Source organism: Homo sapiens, chromosome 12 (assembly GCF_000001405.40).
Source record: "Homo sapiens chromosome 12, GRCh38.p14 Primary Assembly".
Lineage (NCBI taxonomy): Eukaryota > Metazoa > Chordata > Mammalia > Primates > Hominidae > Homo > Homo sapiens.
The window spans coordinates 27517589-27540166 of record NC_000012.12 but is presented as its reverse complement, the minus strand read 5'-3'; the positions used below and the strand labels follow the sequence as shown (position 1 = coordinate 27540166).

The 22578-nt window shown below is 42.2% G+C and overlaps 1 protein-coding gene across 48 annotated transcripts in view, besides 5 other annotated features; it reads right to left on the bottom strand.

Annotated features, from left to right (window-relative positions):
- PPFIBP1 (PPFIB scaffold protein 1) overlaps positions 1–15961 on the bottom strand; it is a 171359-nt gene extending 155398 nt beyond the window's left edge. For all 48 annotated transcript variants that reach the window (XM_017020056.3, XM_047429753.1, XM_047429758.1 and 45 more), the window contains exon 1: positions 15802–15961. The gene's annotated coding sequence lies outside the window, so the exon portion shown is untranslated. The remainder of the gene's footprint in view (positions 1–15801) is intronic.
- Positions 5535–5584: an enhancer, noted in NCBI's record as "active region_6146". NCBI's record gives its function as "activates an Ori minimal core promoter by ATAC-STARR-seq in GM12878 lymphoblastoid cells {active_cell/tissue: GM12878}" and the evidence as "EXISTENCE:reporter gene assay evidence [ECO:0000049][PMID:35858748]".
- Positions 15339–15939: an enhancer, noted in NCBI's record as "H3K27ac hESC enhancer chr12:27677161-27677761 (GRCh37/hg19 assembly coordinates)". NCBI's record gives its function as "activates a minimal SCP1, AML or CMV promoter by ChIP-STARR-seq in naive H9 embryonic stem cells {active_cell/tissue: H9 hESC(naive)}" and the evidence as "EXISTENCE:reporter gene assay evidence [ECO:0000049][PMID:30033119]".
- Positions 16186–16645: an enhancer, noted in NCBI's record as "active region_6145". NCBI's record gives its function as "activates an Ori minimal core promoter by ATAC-STARR-seq in GM12878 lymphoblastoid cells {active_cell/tissue: GM12878}" and the evidence as "EXISTENCE:reporter gene assay evidence [ECO:0000049][PMID:35858748]".
- Positions 16186–17144: a biological region, named in NCBI's record as "H3K27ac-H3K4me1 hESC enhancer GRCh37_chr12:27675956-27676557".
- Positions 16543–17144: an enhancer, noted in NCBI's record as "H3K27ac-H3K4me1 hESC enhancer chr12:27675956-27676557 (GRCh37/hg19 assembly coordinates)". NCBI's record gives its function as "activates a minimal SCP1, AML or CMV promoter by ChIP-STARR-seq in naive H9 embryonic stem cells {active_cell/tissue: H9 hESC(naive)}" and the evidence as "EXISTENCE:reporter gene assay evidence [ECO:0000049][PMID:30033119]".

Sequence of the window (22578 nt, the reverse complement as noted above, 5' to 3'; positions counted from 1 at the left end):
AGGATCACTTGGGCCTAGCATTTTGAGGCTGCAGTAAGCTATAATCACATCACTCCAGCCTGGGTGACAGAGGAAGACCCTGTCTCTAAAAAAAAAAAAAAATTGAAAATAGGCTATATTTTATATTTTTACAATGGGATTAAATAATGAAACACCCACAGATGGAATGTTTTACAGTCCTTAGAAATATTTACAGACATTTTAGTAGTGTAAGGAAATGAAAATAAAACAATGTGAAGTTTTAAAAATAGTGGGACACAAAATTACATACGCAGAATATTTCATCTATGGAAAAAATATAGGAATAGAAAAAGAAGAAAACACACCAACACACCAAAGCTAATTATACCTTCATGTGAAAGTATTACTGATGCCTTTTTTTTAACTGTGTCTTCTCTATTTTTTCTATGTTACTCAAATTTTCTATAAGATACATATATTACCTTTATAATTACAAAAAAAGTGTAACAATTTCAAATATAAATCCACAATAAACAATAGATGGAAATCCAGCAGCTAGCTCTCCACCCTTCTACTCCCACAGATAGGCAGGTAAGGCAGTAAACAGTGGGGAAAGCTGCTTTGTTTAAAATCCAAGGCTAGAAAAACATAGGGCTTCTTGATGTGAAAACCAAAACGTTTCATGTCTCACGTATCAAAACAGGTTTTGGGAATTTGATAGTCAAAACATTTTCCATCAGAAGATTTAAACCCGCACACCAAAATTATCTCCACAGAACAAACTAGTAAAGCAAGCAGGAAGTTTACCAGGAATATCCTAAAAACTAATAATGGCTTTTACAGCTCTGATAAACCCACGCCAGCTCATGGTAGTACACAGTGTAACATAAACAATCTCCAGTGAGTCTGTCACCACTCCTAAACAGGACAGCATGAAATCCTTAGCATAAGGCTTCTCACTGGCAAGAATCACTGATGCTGATGAAATTAAGCCTTTTGGTGTTTGCCTTTCAAAGTATGATTTTGCAGTCTTTGGGATGGCTTTCTTGGAGTAACAGCTAACTACACCAAACTCTTTGCAGTCATTATCTTGTTTCATCTTCACAACTCTTTAAAGCAGCATTTCTCAACCTCAGCACTACTGATACTTAGAGGCAGGATAATTCTTCATTGGTGGGGGGCTGTCCTGTGCATTGTAGGATGGTTAGCCACATCCCTGGAACGTACCCACCAAATGCCAGCAGCACCCCCACCCCCAGGTTGTGACACAAAAAATGTCTCTTGACATTGCCAAATGACTGCTACAGGTCAAAATCACTGCAATTGAAAACTACTGCTACAAAAGTATACAGTATTACTGCCCCTATTTGACAAATGAGGTCCATCTAACTCCAGAGCCCAAGATCCACCATTCCATACTACTTTCGTGCCCAGGTAGGAGGCCAAGCTTAGAGTATAACTAATACTGCATTTTCTAGCTGGGGCATCTTTGCATCTCCATGGAGCCTGGTATAGGCCTAATGCATATTGGTTGAATGAACCAATCATCTCATCACATATTTACTGAGTTCCTACCAGGTAGCAAGCATTGTCAACAAAGGCAGTCATGGTCTTCAACTAGTCCATAATCTATTTGAAGAAATAAGACAAATCCAGAAAAGAGCCATTTTGAGAGTCAGTGTTGGAAAAAATTCTCAGTTTCCTCATCTGTAAAATGGAGGTAATGCTAGTGCTACGTCATAATTAACTGAGATACTGCAAGTAAAGTTCCTATCACAAAGTACAATTTCAAATAACAAGTAGATGCCAGATCTCAAAATCACTGGGCTGGAAGGAACCTTCAAAGACAACCTTAACTCACCACCGAATTGGTACTTGAGCAGTTAAAACCCCAAAATTTGATTACCTGCTTCCTGCAAAGTTCCTGCACGAGTGAGTTCTGACTGAGACTGTCAGCTAAGTTTTCCTGATGAACTGCTTTTAAGTGGGTCTGGAGGAAAGAGGAGAGGTTAAGCAAAGAGAAGAGCGATAGGAAAAACAGAAAGGTTTGCTGGACTTAAAGCCATCCAGGGATTGGAGCCGGAGTCCTCTGCACAGAAGAGCAGGGAAAGGCAAGCTTGGAGAAAGGTCAAGATCAGATGAGGTCACAAGATGATACAGTGGTAATAATAGCCAGGCGAGACTTAAGAAATATTTCTCCTAAAAAAAGCAACCAAAGGCTGCTACAAAGCATACACCCAATTTCCGTTATGAACGGGGAATTTAATTTCTCAGACTAAAAGATCAACATTCAGGTTGCTTCACACCATTCTTAAGAATAGCCAGATACCTGCTTTCCATTTACATAGCTAAAAGTGAAGATTTTGCCACAGCAAAGAATCACTCTGCCTTAAGAGTAAACCCAAGAACAAGATGGACTGGGCATCTTTCTCCCCATGCCCAGTCCATCTTGTTCTTTAAGGCACCAGCGCAGGACAAGGAAACAAGAGCCCACAGTGGCCAGACCTCTTTTTAAAATCTGAATTTCAATAGGTGAATTTCAGTAAGTAAACCCTCCCAAAGCAAGTGTTGGCTGAAACTTCTTTATTAATAACACGCAGGCCAAACCAACCCTGTCTCCATGCAGTCTCCACCCCGGGAACACAGGATGAGAACTCTGCTGTAAGCCATGGCTCACAGGAGGTCAAAGAAAGCTTTGGAGTAGGCAGGGTGGCCTGGAACCAAACTTACTTGGAAAATTTGTCTGGCAGTAAGGTGCAGAATAAGGAAACGGGGGGCCGGGCGCGGTGGCTCACGTCTGTAATCCCAGCACTTTGGGAGGCCGAGGCCGGCGGATCACGAGGTCAGGAGTTTGAGACCAGCCTGGCCAACATAGTGAAACCCCATCTCTACTAAAAACACAAAAAATTAGCTGGACGTGGTGGCAGGCATCTGTAATCCCAGCTACTCAGGAGGCTGAGGCAGGAGAATCACTTGAACCAGGGAGGCAGAGGTTGTAGTGAGCTGAGATCACACCATTGCACTCCAGCCTAGGTGACCGTGAGAGACTCCGTCTCAAAAAAAAAAGAGAGAGAGAAGGGACTACCTGCAGGGCTCCAGTAGGAGACAACGGCAAGGTCTGTATCAGAGAGAAGGAGGATGCGAACCCAGATATACTGGTAGGGGGAATGAAGAGTGATTAAAAAATTATTGAAAGGCAAAAATGACCTTGCTGATGACCAGAAGAGAGTCCCCTAGGCTACCACCCACAAACCTGTTACATTGCAAACTTTAATAATGAAGCTGAGACGTTAGGACCAAGGGAAACTTAGCCTCAAAAGTGAGCTCTTTGACTTCTGAGACATCTTCATGGACCTGTGACCTGGGCAGTAACACAGGACCCCATGCTCAGAAAAGACCCACAGTTGGTTTAATACTCTACTGTCACCATCTTGAGAATGATAATAATTTTGAATTTGCGTTTTGTAAGTCAGGTCCAATGGGACAATGGAGCCCACAAGTGAGCAGAGGAGAACGATGTGATATGATTTGGATGTTTGGCCCCTCCAAATCGCATGTTGAAATGAGATTCCCACTGTTGGGGGTGGGGCCTGGTGGGAGGTGACTGGATCGTGGGGGCGGATCCCTCATGAATGGTTTAGCGCCATTCCCCTTGGTGAATCTTGCTCAATTCGTTCATGGGAGATCTGGTTGTTTAAGAGTCTGGGGCCTCTCCCTTCTGTCTCTCTTGCTCCCTATCTCACCGTGTGACAAGCTGGTTCCCCTTGCCTTCTGCCATGATCGGAAGCTTCCTGGGGGCCTCGCCAGAAGCAGATGCTGGCACTATGCTTCACGTACAGCCTGCAGAACCGTGAGCCAAATAAACCTTTTTTCTTCATAAATTATCCAGTCCTAGTTTTCCTATATAGCAATGCAAAACAGCCTAACATACGACGTAATATGTACAGCCACCATTCCTGGCCTCTCTATTCACACAGTTTTCCCAATGCACCATGAGCTCAGAATTCCCGTGAACTCCTGGTGCGTGGGAGTTCAGCAAGACTTCAAGCGAGTGCAAGGTAAGTGTGTTACCAATACAACTGAGTAAGCAGGCAGGTGGGTGCTGACTGCCCAAAGAGGCAATGACTTCCATTTGAACCAGAACTTGATTGCATACAGAAATGTCTTTCTAAGAAACACAAATGACCAAGGAGGCTTAGCGTTTTATCTCTTTCTCATGTTACTTAACCATATTAGCCAACCACTTATGCTGAAAATGACGGCACAAAAGGAAAAGGAAAGATAAGGCAACTCATAGTTGCTTCTCCTTTCAGTCTTTCATTACACATCATAAGCCAAAGGTAGGTAGGTGTCAGTAGAATGTGCACATGTCAAGAAGTGAAATAAAAGTAGTTTAGTTTTGTGCAGTGTTTCTACTGTTCTCATAACAATATACATATGCGTCGACAACTTCAGTAATTCTGCATATGAGTTCAATGCTCTATATTTTCATTTAAAGCCAGCATTGCACTGGGCGCAGTGGCTCACGCCTGCAATACCAGCATCTTGGGAAGCCAAGGCAAGAGGATTGCTCGAGTCCAGGATTTCAAGACCAGCCTGAGCAACATGGTGAGATCCTGTCTCTACAAAAAAAAATTGCCAGGCACGCATCTGTAGTTCCAGCTACTTGGGAAGCTGAGGGGGAGGATCACCTGAGCCCAGAAAGTAGAAGCTGCAATGAGCCGTGACCACACCACCTCGCTGTAGCTTGGGTGACAGAGTGAGATCCTGTCTCAAAAAACAAAACAAAACAAAACAAACAACAACAACAACAAAAACAACATTGTATAATAAAAAGATGAAGAGTAAATTCATGCTAAAAACTTCACTGCTTAGTTTTTTAATTTTTAAATTGAATTCATGCTGTAATTTTAATTTTTAATTTTTCTTCACATAGAATGACAAGTAGCCAATACTATGACAAGTCAAGAGAAAAAAACTGTATGAGAAAGGAAAGAAGCTTCATATTTTAGTACCTTTAACAGCACTTTTTTCTTGCCTTTTGAATAAGGGGTCACACATTTTCATTTTGCAACAGGCTCCACGGATTCTATAGTTGGCCCAGCTGAAAACCATTGAACTCAAGAATATTATGCCTATCAATTTATACTGTACACACTTGAACAAGCCTTTACTGACATCTTTCAAAGCAACCACCATAAGACCCACCAATGGACTGATGGGGTAGTGGTTTTCAGTACCACATTCTTAATCATTGCATTCTTCAATCCTTTTCTCACATACCCCTAATGTCATTACCACAACAAATCTGCTGAAATGCCACAAGCCTATGTCTTTTCAACTAAAGATCTTTCTAGAAATAAGTAAACTGAAGATCAGAGACCACCTTATCAGGAGGAGAATTTAATCCAGTGCTGTCTCTGTTGGACAACTCCTTTCTACAGAGTATTTCCTGGTGCTTTGATGTATCTGTTTTAACCAAACCCTAGCTGTGGGCTCCAAAACCAGTTGTCTCTCACCACTCAGAGCTCAGGTTTCCCCCAAGAAGTTGGCCTGTGAACCATCAAGTCTGGTTGTCTAAAAATTCCTCCTTCAAAGACAGTCAAGTTTCCCTTTGTCTAATTTCATTCTCTTTTTTTTTTTTATAACCACTACTTTCCACTTCAATAAACCAACTTCCTGCCTCGAGACACATTCTGGCAAATGTGTCAGTTTGTATTGTTCAGATGAGAGACTTCTGTCATTCTTTCAAATTTTTCCTCCATGACAATAATCCCCAGAGCCATCCTCTCAGGAGCCTGAGTTACTTGTCTGTGAATTTCCTTTCACTGCTTCTTACTCTACTGATAAATCAATGCAGACCGCCTGCAGTGAACTTACTCAATTCGTATCCCTTCTGATCACATCTTTTTTTTTTCCATTTCCCCTATCCTCTCTTCCATCGCATCAGAAGAAGGGTTCTTATGGATTTCGAGGCTAACCCACTGCCCTCCACTTGATTTTGGGTCTAGCCCCATCTCTCTACCCTGGACCATGCACTCATTCCTTCCTCCCTTTTTCTTCTTTTAATATCCTCCTCTCTACCTGAGCCTTCCTCAAACCCAAGCTATCTACCATGTCTCTCTCGGATCAGTTCCTTGAAAGGATGAACTAACCAGGCCACCTGCAGTTCATCAGCCCCCGTGTAGTCCTCAATTTTTTGCATTCTGGATTCCAGGTTCATGAACTGACCTGACAGCAGGACCAGGGACAGTCTGTTGGATACAGCTTTGTAACGAGTCTGTTGCACTGGATGGCATGATTAGTTCACTTACGTTGTGCTTCTTCCCTTGGCCACCATCATCCTCCACTTCTCTGCAGATCCTGCTCTATCTCCTCTCCTAACTTCTTTTTTGCCTGACCATTTCTAAATATCAGGAGTCCCCTGAAGACTGTATGCTTGCTTCTCTTTTTACTCTACATACTCTTGTTCGGGGAGCTCAACCATTCTCACTCTTTACATAACAGCCCTATAGAGATGATCCATTAGTCCAGGCTTTGGCCTAAACTCCAAGCCTAAATTTCTAAATTCTTGCTTAACATCTTCATATGAATAATGTCAACTAACAGTTCATACTGGCTTTTAACACCCCAAGTACAGAACCATGCCAGAGGTAGGACTATGAAGAGGCTGAAGATACTGGCCCTGGAGCTGCACCTGCCTGAGTTCAAATTCTGAGTCTGACACACATGATCTGTGTGATCCTGGGAAAGTTACTTAGCCTCCTTGTGCCTCAGATTCCTCATCGTAATATGGGATTAATCTAGGTTGAAATATTTAAGGTGCTTAGAGTAGTGCTTGGTACATAAAAAGTATAACCTACCAGGTAAGTGTTACCTATTATTATTGTTATTCTCCTAAAAACCTGATAAGATAGGTATTATTATTTTATCCATTTATACAATGAGAAAATTAAGGATAATGTGGGTCATGATGGAATTTCAAACTCCAGATGTTCAAATCTTAACTCATATTTCCCATTAAAATTCAACTTTCACTTAGCCAGGCATGGAGGCATGTCCCTGTAGTTCCAGCTACTCGGGAGGCTGAGTCAGAAGGATTGCTTGAGCCCATGAGTGCACAATGATCACAACTGTGAATAGCCACTGCTCTCCAGCCTGGGCAACATAGCAAGACATCATCTTTAAAAGAAAATTAACTTTTGTATACGGGCCATTCTTGATTTAGGGTGTTCTGTCCTTCTCCCTCCCCTTGCCCATATACCCACTAGAAATACCCAATCTGCTATTTCCAGAGTCATTTTTATAAAACAATAGTTCCCTTACTTCTTCTTTTCTTAAAAACATCCTGTTTTAAGGTACAATCTTGTCACTCTCTTTAAAACCCTGTAAGATTTGCCCCAATATAGCTTACGTCTTTTCAAACAATATTGTTCTCTCTTTTCTCTAAATCGAATCTCACTCTATTCTACATTTTGCTCCAAACCCAAGTATGCTCATCTGTCCCCACTGCCTCCTCAAAATCTCCTCCCCACCCTTTAAGACCCAGTCAAATCCCACCTCTTCTAATGAAACCTCAAGAAACCCAGTCTCTTCCTTTGCTCTGGTGACTAGTCTAGTTCACAGAATGCTCTTCCCCAACCAACCTCCAAAAGGACCAATAAATAGATGTTTAAAATTTTAACATATTTTGTATTTCTCGAGTAATGTAATATAGATGTAATATACTGTAAAAAAAAAAAAAAATACAAAGTTCCCTTCATCCCAACTCCCATAAGCCATCCCACTTGGCAGTTTTTCATGCACTGACAAATGTAAACCATACACGTGTGCTTGGTTTTTTACTTCTTAAAATATATATAATAGACATCTGTACAAGTCAGTATATTCAATCTTTTTAACAGCTAAACAGTATTCTAAATCTGCATTTTATTACAGTTATGAATAAGGTGTGCCATCTCTTTCTGCCCCCATCTCCTGTATGTGAATACTCTTAAGGTAAAGATCATGTTTTGTTTGTCTTTCCGTCTCCAAGAGGATCTTGTACCAAGGCTGGGAATTGCTTAACACGTGCTTAATGAAATAGTAACAACAATATCTGTCATCAAAGCAGTGCATGTCGTGTGCCAAGAAACCAGCTGTTAGTGCTTCACATACATTATCAGATGTAATCTTCATAACCACCCAATTATTCCCATTTCACAGAAGACTTAACCAAAATCACACAGCTAGTAACAACAGGGGATTCTAATCCACATCTGTCTGACTCTGGAGTCCCCGCCCTTCATCCCTATGCTATAGTTAATAAAATTTTTATAAGGACATCCTTATAAACCAAAGCTGGAAAACAGAAGAGTTCCAAGTAGTCTGGTGTGGGCAGGTGGGAATGAGGATAAGAGACAGGAGGCGGAATAAATGCCAAGTAGATGGAGTCAAGGGATTGTAGCTATAAACCTACCGAGAACCTTCTAGGAGAAAGAGCTGAATTCTTTGCCTCCCCCTTTCAGACTCCCCACTACACTTCCCTTTGGTAACAGTGCCACCATTTGTTGAAGATCTTCCATGTGCTGAATATGCCATTATTATTCCTATTAATAATTTCTGGCCGGACGTGGTGGCTCATGCCTGTAATCCCAGCACTTTGGGAGGCTGAGGCCAGCAGATCATCTGAGATCAGGAGTTTGAGACCAGCCTGGCCACGATGGTGAAACCCTGTCTCTACTAAAAATACAAAAAAAAAAAAAAATTAGCTGCTCATGCTGGTGGGGACCTGCAATCCCAGCTCCCTGGGAGGCTGAGGCTGGAGAATCGCTTGAACCCAGGAGGTGGAGGTTGCAGTGAGCCGAGATTGCAACACTGCACTCCAGCCTGGGTGACAGCACGAGACTGTCTCAAAAAAAAATAATAATAATTTCTAATTATTTCTAATCCTTCAAAAAATGCTATGGCACATATATCAGAGCTACCATTTTATAGATGAGAAAGCTGAGACCCAGAGAGGTTAAGTTACTTGCCAATATTAGACTGTAATAAATAGCAAAGCCAGGATTCAAGTTGAGGATCTGCATGGCTCCAAAGTCCTGTTTTTCTCGTACAAAATAACACGTTTTTATTTTTAAAGAAAAGATGAACTATGATTTTTAGACATCTAGACTCAGTTAAGATCACATTTGGCTGCAAGTAACTGACCCAAGTTCTGTGGTTTAACCAAGTAGAGATTTTATTTTTCTCACAGAGTCAAGAAATGGGTCCAGTAGAGCAGTTGCAGAATGCTATCAGCTTCTCAGCCTCCTTCTAACCTTCCACCCACTCATCCTTAACCCTCAAGCATCTTGTCTTTGGTCACGCGATGGCCTGCTTACTTTCTCCAGGGAAGAAGTACAAAGAGCAAAAGGCTTAACAGGCAAGCTCACAGAGGCTTCCCCTTTTAAGAGCTTTGGGGAACGGGGCATCCAGCTATTTACATCTCATCAGCCAGGACTACTGTCACTGAACCACCTCCCAGCTGCAAGGGATTCTGGGAAATCTAGCACTTAACTGGACATAGTGGTGAATTAAACAAAATGGGTTCAGTTACAGAAAAGGAGGGGGGAATGGATATCAGTTGGGCATCCAGCTGTGTCTTTCCCACATGAAGTGCAAGTCATCCTAGAGAATCAAATTCCCTTAGTAGAGAAAAACAATAAAAGAAACTTAATTCTGTGTTTAGTAGCTTTCTCAGTTATGCAAAGTCACACATTGATGGGGGTGGAGGATGGAAGGATCTGAAAGTTTGACAAAACCATCCAGGCAGCTGATCCAGAGGAAAAACACCGAGATTCAGGTGACTTCACACAAATGGCCCTGGCAAGATCACAGGTTCAACCAGTGTGTCTCCTGTGAGTCGTCACTGTTTCCCTTCCACCCTCTCACTTCCCAGAGTTAATTTCGAGAACCCACAGGTTCATTCGACTCTTCCATCATTCACAAGAAAAAGTAGATGTATTCAAATTCCAATGCAAACAAAAGAAAATTCTATACTGTGTTGTTATAAGAGGCAGCATCTTTAGAAAAAGATAACGGTTGCAAAGGCATTCTTTATGCAATAGCAGCCGCCCTGTCAAGTCACTAGATGAAAAAAGTAGACCACAGAGTTTCAACCTTGTTTTCATTTTTTCTAAATAAAGTAAATACAATAAACTTTCCTCATGAAAAACTTTTGCAATTCTGTGGTAGTAAGATAATATTTGTGTAGAGTACTATGGATGAAGAGAAGGATAACAAAGTGCCAGCAAAAGGACATCAGTGAGCTTGATCCTAGGCACGGAAATACAAGAAAACACAGGTACATTTAGTGATATGGTACAGTATTACTGCATACCATAAAAGAGTCCACACTCTTCCCAATGGGCCTACCTAGTTCTTCCCCAAAACTACCTTGCTGGCCTGAAGAATCTGGCCACTTCTTAAGAGTTCAGCTATTATTGCTAAAAGGAAAAATTAAAATTTGGCAACTTACTATTATTATTATTTTAGACAGAGTCTTGCTCTGTTGCCCAGGCTGGAGTGCAGTGGCGTGATCTCAGCTCACTGTAACCTCCGCCTCCCGGCTTCAAGCAATTCTCCTGCCTCAGCCTCCTGAGTAGCTGGGACTACAGGCATGCGCCACCACATTCGGCCAATTTTTGTATTTTTAGTAGAGACGGGGTTTTGCCATGTTGGCCAGGCTGGTCTCGAACTCCTGACCCCAAGTGATCCATCCACCTCAGCCTCCCAAAGTGCTGGGATTACAGGCATGAGCCATCGCGTCCAGCCTGGCCACTTCTTTAGGAATAGACTTGCCACTGAAAAAAGCCTTAGTACCTCTTTCACCAGGTGAAATGGAGTTTCACCTCTTAACAAAGACACACTAAGAATGAGCATACCTACTCTTCTGAACTTGTCTTTTCATGTCAAATGAATAATTTCCCTAAATTAAAGGAGAGGTGAAAATATCCAGGCCTATTGTGGAGTCCAGAGGGTGTCCATAAAATCTAGGGCCAGCCCCAAACGTGATGGTGGTACTTGATCTTCCTCCTACATGATCCATATTTAAGACATGACCCTTGGCCAGAATGACGGATACTCAGTGCAATTTGAGTTTATACAATTCCTTCAGGCATGGACATTGTTAGGTGCACCCCTGTACATAAAACCACTACATGATCTTTCTATTCTGAACTCATTACACTTGCCAACAAAAACAAGGATGTGTGTGTGGGCCAGTCAAAATGTGAGTCCCATCAAGTTCCAGGGAGAAGCATAACCAAAGAGCACTCACAAACTGTGACAACACATCCACTTGGACCACTCAGAGTCCAAACCCACCTTTCAGAAATAGACACTCTCCAGTGGGTTTAGACTGGTACGTATTTACCTCAGGTTCTCTCTCCTCCTCCCCCAAACTGCCTAAAAAGTGCGTAAACTTAAAACTCCTAGAAGAACCCATATTTCTTTTATCTAAAATCCAGTTGTCTGGTATGTTAGGTTTTTTTTTGAAGTGGAAAAAAAATGCTCACCACTTGGCTTCTGGAAACATTATCACTGAACACCAATTGAGCATCAGTAATTATTATATCTAAAATGAAGGGTGTAAAAGAAAGATTCTATGTATTTTGTAGGGTGGAATAATTCAGTTTAGTTTTAAATTTATGAGCTCCATTTAACGCAGCATCAATTTTTGCGGCAGTGACATATATGACAAAAGCTGTAGGGTTTTGTTTTGTTTTTTACTAGGAAGAAGGTTCTGACGTGCACTGCAATAAATTTGAAAAATAACTGACATAACACACTACTGATGCACTGAATTACAAGAGCCCAGAGCAGTTTTTGGACAGTTTGATAACTGATTTAATTGTGAAGTTATCCACCTTTGGTTGAACAGAAAATGCTGGCCAGAAGACATTTTGTTCCCTTTATTCACAAAGAATACCCTGCATAACCAGGCGTGGTGGCTCACTCCTATAATCCCAGCACTTTGGGAGGCTGAGGCAGACAGATCACCTGAGGTCAGGAGTTCGAGACCAGCCTGGCTAACATGGTGAAACCCCGTCTCTACTAAAAATACAAAAATTAGCCAGGCGTTGTGGTATACACCTGTAATCCTAGCTAACTGGGACCCTGAGGCATGAGAATCATTTGAACCCGGGAAGTGGAGGTTGCAGCGAGGCAAGATCACGCCACTGCACTCCAGCCCGGGCAACAGAGAGCGACTCTGTCTCAAAAACAAACAAACAAACAAAAAAGCAAAGAATACCCTGCATCAAAATGAGACAGTAACCCTAACAGCTTTGACTCGCATATTTAAATCCATCTGTTTGGCCACGGTTAAAAATAACAAAATAATCATGATAGTTATGATTATGGCTCCCTGAAAGATTTCACAACTGGCTGCTCAACTGTGATTTTTTTTTTTCTTAATTTTGGAGCTAATATGACTTTCTAAGGAAATCTCTGAAAATAAAAACGTCATTACGCAACATTTCTTGCCTATGTTTTCGCCTTGAAGCGACGTTTCTTTAATAAAGAATCAAGACACAGACCCAAACATGAATGAATATGCATTCATTAATTCACTCCTTCATCGTTTTGAAAAGGTAATTCAAACTAGGCCAGAGACACGTAATAACATCTTTGAAAAGACAGGCTGGGCACCCAGGGCTCACTCATGTAATCCTAGCACTTTGGGAGGTCAAGGTGGGTCGACTGCTTGAGCCCAGGAGTTCAAGACCAGCCTGAGCAACATGGTGAGAACCCGCCTCTACTAAAAATACAAAAATTAACCGGGCATGTTGGTGCATGACTGTAGTCCCAGGGAAGGCTGAGGTGGGAGGATCATTTGAACCTGGGAGGCAGAGGCTACAGTGAGCCGAGACTGCACCACTGCACTCCATCCAGGGCGGCAGAGCGAGACCCTGTCTCAAAAAAAAAAAGAAAAAAGAAAAGACAGAGTGCTGAATGAGGTCTTCTTTCAGTTAACAGTTTGAAAATTATGCTGGTTTGGGATATAAACGAAAAGTTAATTTTAATGTAACAAATTATCAACATAATCTAAATTTACTTATACAAATATTTTATGAATAGGAAAGGTTTTAAAAGAAGTCAGCTAGTCAGTAACTGAGGGGAAAAATGACCTTGTTCTGATTTATCTCACGGTGGAACAGGGAGCTACAAAAAGACTACATAAACAGTTAATTAACTGTCCCTCGGTGAACTTGTTCCCAAAAAAATGTCAGTGATGCCCTTGAAATTAGGCACTATTGATCTGGAACTTCAGTGTGTCCTGGATTTCAAATCAACATTTATCCATTAAGGCCAGATGACCTTAATTTTTATTTTATTTATTTATTTTTGAGATGGAGTTTTGCTCTAGTCGCCCAGGCTGGAGTGCAATAACGAGATCTCAGCTCACTGCAACCTCCGCCTCCTGGGTTCAAGCGATTCTCCTGCCTCAGCCTCCCAAGTAGCTGAGATTACAGGTGCCCACCACCACACCCGGCAATTTTTTTGTATTTTTAGTAGAAATGGGGTTTCACCATGTTAGCCAGGCTGGTCTCCAACTCCTGACCTCAGGTGATCTGCGTGCCTCAGCCTCCTAAAGTGCTTGGATTACAGGTGTGAGCCACCAAGCCTGGCCGACCTTAATTTTTAAAGTTGCTCTTGGAAATATGACAGTTGTTGGTCACAGGAATTTAACCAAAAACTGATCCTACCTTTCTCAATAACTCAAACATCTTTTAAGTATTCCGTGTTTTCCTACACCATATCTGCCTCATAAACATGGACTGAGAAAGAGAAATATTGGTTTAAATTAAGTATGTAAAATTACTGCTATTATTCAAACTGTGAATCAAATTTAGAGTTTTGGTATATTCAAGTCCCTAAACTAGGACTAGTTTCTTGGAAAGAAAGTGTAAATCTGAATTTGGCACATAAGGATAACATCCTAAAGATACTCTTCTTTACTGAACCGTCTGGCTTTTGCAGCCCCATCTTTTGGTATTACAAATGCAGTTGGAACACTATCAGCCAAGGAACACTACCGTGAGTTCACATTAGCCCACAGGAACTCCACTCCACAGCTCTATCCTACTGAAAAAGTACACTGGAAAATACAGTATGTTTTATGTACTCCCCATAGAACATAAATAGAAAAGACTTGTTCACCATTATTGCAGAGCCATTTGCAATTTCTGTGTCTTAAGCCAAAATACAAACCAAAATTAAAATGTTGTCTTTCCAATAAAGCGAATTTTCCTTTCTCAAAAAGCCTGCTATTTTATCCACTCTATTTAATTTTTTCAGGAACTAACAACAATACAGACCCAGGTATGTCATAAACAACAGCACAACCAAACACTTCTTTCTAGTTCTGAAACCTAATGATCATTTGGCTAGAAAGATAGAGAACCCCATCTATAGTCCTCTATCCCTTTTCCTGACTTGGGTTTACTAGACCTACTGTTGTGGCTTCTTTCTTTCTCCATCTCCTGGAAATGCCTTTTCCCTTCAGGGGCCTGGGATACGGATTTTGACTCACAATGAAGTCCACTCCCATTTCCTCCAGACCTGGCAACAGTAGGATCCTCACTGCTGAGGAGGAACTTCGGTGAAGGAAAGGGGAAACTTGACTCAGGAGTCTCAGCGCTTACTTTTTTTTTTTTTTTTTTTTTTTCCTTCCTGCTCCAAAAGAGAGCCTTAAAGCACTGATGAGAGGGTCCTGAATCGGTGTATGGAGTCAATTTCCCCGCCCCCTCGAGAAAGTCAATCACACCCAGTTAGTGACCTGGGCACACAAAATCTCCACATAGGAAAAAGACAGGGTTTGAAATAGGAAATAAACAAAAATCAGAATTCTATTCTTTCACTTCTTAAAAGTATCTTTTTCCTCCCGCAATTGCTTTCTCAAAATACCAAACTTGGACTTTGAAATCAAGTTCTTTTTCTATTGCTCTCCGCAGTTCTTACTGAAAGCAAGGATTTGTTTTGGTCCCACATGTTGAAAACTTCACGTCCCTATAATTAAGAGTTTATATGCCACGCCTTCCACCGCGTTTCCCTGTTAAAACTCCCTTCTCTAAAAAAGATCCCTGAAAACACAACTACCAGCTCGCCCCTCAAGCAGCCACAGGAAACAGATCTGAAGATTCTCAGCAGCCATCCTAACCTCTCCAGATATAAAGCTGGCAGCTGAAGGGATTTCTCGGTTAAAATGAGTGAATACTAGTTGCAGTTTTAGAAGTGTGCCCCCAAGAGACGAGTTTTCCCGCAAGCTCATAATTAATAAACACCCCAAGTGAATTTCTCACATCCTGACTGGATTACACAAAAGGATATTTTACATTGATATATAAGACTAACATTGATATTCTTTTAATATATAATAGGCCACAAGGAGACAAAAAAATACAAAACTTTTTTTTTCTTTTCAACGAGCATAATTTTTGAGTCGATGATCCATAATTTTTTGTGGCATTTTTAAATGCCTCAATACACACAGACAGAGAGACACACACGCCCCTCTGGTTGGGGTTCTCAGGTATTACCGGGAGCCTAGGGTGTGGGGGTCTAAGGATACAGACAAGACCTAAACGTCCAATCCTGGAGTATTCTTCACGTACAAGCTCGGTCCAAGCCCCAGGAGTTAAGCCCTACCCCTCCACCCCCACCACCCCCAAAAAGTGCCCGTTCCCATTGGGAAACAGGAGTGAGTTGCACAAGGAAATCGACCCGGGGAAGAGGAGGAGCAGCTGCAACAGCCAGCTGCAGCCACACAACGGTGCCACTTCCCTCCCGTCTGGGAGTGGAGCAAAACGCCCTTACCTGGGGGGTGGAGAGCCGCCGGCACTAGTTCCAAAAGTTCTGGTCCACCTCCTCTCGGAGTTCAAAGCCCCAGCACTCCGGCCCGGCCGCCAGCTCGCAGCACACGAGTCCTTCCCCGTCCTTTCCCCACCCTGCCTGCACTACACCATGTCAGGAATCCGGGCAGGCACCGAGCTGGGAGCTGACATCACTCCCAGTTCCAGGTACCTCCCCCTCCCACTGCCGCCCTTCTCTCCTCCCTCCCTGCAGGAATCAGCCAAAGAGAGTCAGCAGTGGGGCGGGGCCGGGGGCGCCTGCGCGCCCGCTGATTGGAGCCGGGGAACGTCACTCAGAGGAGTCCACTAATTTTATGCATTCCTCGCTGAGCCAGACTAGGGCTGGAAGTGGGTGGATGGAAGAAAATGCTGCCCTTCCTGCTATCTCTAAGGAACGGAGATAATCCGATGGGGAAGAACCTGGCGGGTCGAGTTTTAAACTTTTCTTGTTGTAGTTACTGAGATTCCAGATCAGAAACGAAACTAACCCACGCGAACCCCCTTTTTAAGGAGAAACAATTGCCTCGGTGTCACAGGCACACGGGCATGTACAAGCCCGGCGGCGCGTGGTGTAGAAAATGGCTAGCTTTAAGCCATGCAAATAAAGGAAAACGTCAGCTCACCCTTCTGCCCTTTTATCCTGGGACTGCTGGGTGTTCCCTTAGACGGGGAATGTAGAACTTCAAAAGCACTTCAGAAAGATTTGGAAGAGACTCCTGAAAACGGTGACCGAGCTTTGAATTGTTAAGTGGTGGTGTTGTCAGCCATGTGGCTGCTGTTGCTTTTAGCGATGAAAATCACACCACACAAGCTTCTCGGGCAAGTAAAATTGAATCTCTGAAGCAAGAAAAATGTATTTCCCCGTTTAAAGACCTTAAGGCTGCTGTTTCAATGCACACACTGAAAAGGGTGGAGGAAGGAGGGACCTCACAATTGAGTTCCACAAACCACATGAGAATAATTACTGTAGAATGGAACCAATTGTAGTGGCTGAGCTCTCAATTAAGAATTAACTAACGTTTATCCTTGACAGATATCATGCGGTATAATCCCCTTGGCTGACAGAAGAAAAAGATTCTCAGAAAATGGTTCTTTCAAGGCAGATGCTGCTTACAGGCAGACCTGAATGGTGAAAAGCAGCTTTATTTGTATGAGATATAGGTAGCATATAACCCACCATCTTCTAAAAATATAGTGAATTAATAACTTTCTCTTTTTTTTCTTCTTTTTTTAAACAGGTCACTCTGCCACCCAGGCTGGAGTGCAGTGGCATGATCTGGCTCACTGCAACCTCCTTCTCCTGGGTTCAAGTGATTCTACTGCCTCAGCCTCCGAGTAGCTGAGACTACAGGCGCCCACCACCACACCCGGCTGATTTTTGTATTTTCAGTAGAGACGGGGTTTCCGCCATATTGGCCAGACTGGTCTCGAAATCCTGACCTCAGGTGATCCACCCTCTTCGGCCTCCCAAACTGCTGGGATTACAGGCGTGAGCCACCACACCAGGCCTCATTGTTTTTTGATTGATGACATGCCATACATTTACCGATCTGCCAAAAATTGTAGAGGGATGCACAGAATCCAGCATTGTGTCTTGTTTAATCTTCTCAATCATCCTGTAAATTGAGTGTTACTAGCCCTATTTTAACGTAAGGAATCAAAGGCTCAGCAAAGTTATGTAAGTAAATTTCTCCAAATCAGCTAGAACTTGGATTGAAACCGAGGTCTATTTGACTCCAAAGCCATTGATTTTCTTTCTATATCTCAAGTATTGAGTGTCCATAATTTATACTTTTTCAAACAATAGAATGCTACAAGAAATCCACAGGCTTGGGCCACTGCTCTCACAGACCTACTTTATATAATTACCATCTTGTTGCTTGTCAGACCTGCAGTATTCCAAACTCCTGACTTGAATTTCTGACTCCAGTTTCCCCCAGTTCTAATTATTTCTCTGTACCACTCACTACCGATGAGTTTTCTAAAATGTTTGGTTTTGTCATCAACATCTTCCCCTCTAAATCAGGTCCCCCTTTCCCTGCAATTCTTATCTAGCCATTTAAAACTCTCTCTTATCCTGCTTCTTACCTTTCCCAGCTTATCTCCCACTTCGCTCCCAGGAAACCCTCTCTGTAGTCAAACAGGTCTACTCACAGATCCCTGCTTCGTTCTCACCTTTCAGCCTAACCGAAATCCCCACTCCTCTGTGGGTTAAGTCCCACCCTTCTCTCAAAGCCTAATTAAATTAAAGTCCTTGTCCTCTGCCAAGACTTAGCTGTGTGTTACAGTGGACAGAGAAAAGGACTCAAGGTTCTTGGCCTGGCTCTGCCACTTAGCTATTGGGTAACTTTGGGCAAGTCACTAAAACATCCATCCCGAATCTCAGTTACCTCCTCTTTAAAATAGGGCTGACAATACCTATGTTAAAGGTTGTTATAAGGATTGAGATTGTACAGATGTGTAAACATGTGGTTATACATGTCCAGTTAAATGCCTTTCCTGCCTTCCCAAACTCTGAAGAGCAAGCATCTTGCTTATAGGACCTCTTTATATTCCTTATACCCAATTCAAGGAAAAGGCTCAATAAAAATATAGGGCATGAGAAAATAGATCATTGTATCATTTCTATTCTCTTCCATTCTTTAAATGCAGTCTATCCCCAAATAATCTCTCAGACAAAAACTTTAACTGTTTCTTCTTGTTCTTTTTTTCCTCTCTCTTTCTCTCTTTTTATGCCAGAAGGGCCAGAGCCCTTCTGTTCTCCCACACCCCTACCCACCGTTCGTTCAACACCCTTAACTTCCTCAGATCACTTCTGGACCAACTACTTCACCTGTCTCTTAATTAACTACTGACCCTTCCCTGTCCCACAGTCAGGGACACAACTTGTCCATCAGTGTCTGTTGCCTGCCTTGCTCCCAGATGCCTTCAAACGGAGGCTGGGTGGCTACCAGCCATTCCTCCAGCCCTAGTCAGGACGGCTGCAGCCAGGCTCACATTTTTCCAAAACTACAGCCAGCCACAGGAGATGGGGGAGGGAATGTCCCACCCCCACAGAGATGGCAGGATAGAAAAACAGGAAGTCGCCTCCCATCCTTTCTGCAGCTGGAGTGATAACAGCTGCCATCCAGAATCCAGAAAACAAAAGACTCAAAGGGAAGGCTGAAAACGGGCCAGGTCTGGAGCAGTAACATTCAAGCTAGAGGTTACAGAGTGGGTGAGGGAGGAACCAATGGTTGAGATTTCAGCCTCCTTCTACCTCCCTTTAACCAGAGTTACAGCTCTTTTATCTGCTCTACATTTAGGCTTCACCATGATACTTCATTTTTTGAAGACAGTGTAACCCTTAAATAAACATACTGAAATCACTGGCCTCTGGGTGTCTTGGGGAAACTCCAAAAAAATCAGGATAGTGCAGCAGAAGCAAGACAGGATGCCTGATGAGCAGGTAGCCAGAACTTACTCCTCACTATCCCGGCTCCTGGCTGGCTTAGTGCAAATGATCATTTATGATTCCTATGATTTCAACGCTAATTTATTCTGTAGGTCTAGATATTTTCTGCCTAGTTATTCCTATGACTAACCTTACCTTTGGTAACTTTTTGCCAAAGAGTATCACTATTGCGGGGTAGGGAGCAAGAGACACTGCAGAGCAGGAGAACACCTGCTCAATTAGAACTTGAAATGGATCCTAAAAGTCATTTGATGCAACCACTATTAAAATGCAAGAAACCCTTCTTCAGCATTCCTTACAGGTAGCTTCCAACCCCTGCTTGAACTTATCTGGCAACCAGTAACACACAAAATAAGCAAGCAGCCCACCATTAAAGATCTTTCTCGGTTGGGCGTGGTGGCTCACGCTTGTAATCCCAGCACTTTGGGAGGCCGAGGTGGGCGGATCACCTGAGGTCAGGAGTTCGAGACCAGCCTGACCAACATGGAGAAACCCCGTCTCTACTAAAAATAGAAAAAAAATTCGCCAGGCGTGATGGCGCATGCCTGTAATCCCAGCTACTCGGGAGGCTGAGGTGGGAGAATTGCTTGAACCTGGGAGGCTGAGGTTGCGGTGAGCCGAGATCGCACCATTGCACTCCAGCCTGGGCAACAAGAGCAAAACTCCATCTCAAAAAAAAAAAAAAAGGGATCTTTCTCATATCCATCTGGATCCTGCTTTACTGACTTTCTCCCCAAAGACATCTGTCTTGTGTCTCATTTAATCCTCACAAACATCCTGTAAGGTAAGTGTTATTAGCATCATTTTGACATGAGGAATCACTCTCCAGGGTTATACAAGTAAATTGCTCCAGATTCCCCCAGAACTGGGATTGAAACCAAGGTCTATTTGATTCCAAACCTATTTTGTCTTTCTGTGTCTGAAGCATTGATTGTCCACAATTTACACTCTCACTTCTGCCCTTTGCAGTAACAGAACAAGCTGACTCTTTAGTTACACCATCCCCAAATCTGAGCAGGCTTGAGGACACCTCCCTTTCTTTGGATGCAGGTACCAGAAGAGGCTCACCCTACTCATCAAATCCACAGCATTTGCCTGTCTGGTCTTTACAGGCTTCCAGCTGCAGCTCTCTAAAGCACAACCCTGATCACTCCTGACTCTAAACACTTAAATGAGTCTCCCTTTACCAAGGAACAAAACTCATCAAACTTTCTTGACTGGTGTCCAAAAGCCTTCACATCCTTGCCCCCAACTTACCTTTCTGAACTTATTTTCGACTCTTCTTCATATGCCCACACTGCATGCACTGCATGACTTTGCACCCATATTTCCTAATAATACATCCTCACTGTGATTTTTGCCTGTTTCTACAAAAATCTACCTCACAGTGTTGTTGCAAGGATCTGACAAGATGTCATATGCAAGATGACAGAGCACCTTGCCTGACACATCATAGGTGATAAGCAAACATATTTTCCTTTTTCCTACAACATAAAACAATTGTACTATAATTTTTATAGGTGCCTTATGTTCCTTTCTGGCTCCAAGTTTCTTACAGTCCTCAAGAACAGAATGCTAATTTATTTCATCTTTACATCCTTTGTAGGATCTAGAACCATGTTTTGTCCCATAGACATTGATTAAATATTCACTGAATGAATAAGTGAATGAATGCTGTCTTTTGCTTGAAACTCATAACCTGCTATGGTCTAGGTCTTCAGAAGTTCAGGAATAACTTGACCAGACTGATCACAAAGGATCTGGGTGCCTCCAGTTGTTGTTATCCCAGTCACACTGCCAAACACAGAGTGGGTTAAACACATGGTATAAATCATGAACCCAAATCCAAATCAAACAAGCTTAGCTTTAGAATTCCTTCTAAAGGAAATTACTGCTTATTCTGTCTGATCCTAAGCGTGGCATTGGTGATAATCCAGACGTTATTTTAATATCCTTTCATTGAATACTAAGCCACTACCTAGCTATCACCATTGACATCATTTCTGAATCCAACCCTCCTCCCCATTCCCTTCTTGCCCATAGAGACAGGTTAGAAATAGGCACAATATCTTGCTCCAAGTGGGGAGTCTTATTTTAATCACTTTTTCCTTACAACCCAATTGTGCTGGTTATTCTCTGGTTACCCACCAGATACATCTAAAAATCTAGTTACATTCAACTTACTCATTTTATTAGTCTATTTATAAGTTGAAAAATTTTAATTAAAAATAAGGATAATTGGTTTTCATGGTCTTTGATTAATGTTCAACGAATGACTAAACTAAACAAATTACATTCTCTTCAACAATTAACCTCATTACAAACTTCCTTAATTGAATCTCCTAAAAAGTATGTCTGGTTTCTGTATTCTGAGACAGGTCAACAAGATAGGGAGCCAGCCTTTTCAATACACAGGAGCAATTCCTGTTTTTCATTGCATGTAGGTGATCTGCATAATGTTTGCCCCAAGCAGCCCAAGCCTTTCTACAGCTGTCAAGCCTTTGGGTGGGAGAGCCCCGCCATCCTTCCTATCAACATGCACTGTGCATTGGCCTCTTCAACGTCTTAGGAACACGCCCAGTAACAACAGAGCATTACTCAAAACCAGTAAGTCCCCCCTTGATTTCCACCTGCCACAATATTAAATAGGGCTCAGTTTTAAAATAATACGTCGTGGCTCACTACTGATCAAAATTTACCCAACTTGACATTCCCTGGACCAGTGCCATATATACAATTCCGAGGCTTCAGACTGATCCATTAATTTCTACTTCACTCACCTGTCACCTAAACAATCATTAATTTATTGTCTGTTTAGTCTTTCCTAATATTTAACTAGAATTCTTTTACTTAACTAGAACTTACATTTTAAAATGGCAGGTTAACTTTAACCCAGACACTTCTGTCAAAGAAGACTAAGAGAAATAAATTTTAGCTAAAACAGATGTAAGATGATGATGGAAAAATTGGCTTAAACAAATGCTTTCATTGAAGAAATTTTCCTGGCATGTTGAAACAAGTTGCTGATAAATCTTCAGGATATAGCATCTATCTCCCAAGTCCCATAAAAATTAGATTCTCTGCTACTTTCCCTTGCTCTTCCAGAGTCTATCTTCAGAAATTCCTTTCCACTGAAGGATGCTGACTGTGCAACATCTGAATTGCCAGATAATCAGTACTGTGGTTTGTTAAACTAGCCAGGGTATTAAGGAAGCAATGGGAAAGGATCCCAACTATCACTTTAGTATGTCTGTCTTTTTTTTTTTTTCTTTGAGACAGTGTCTCGCA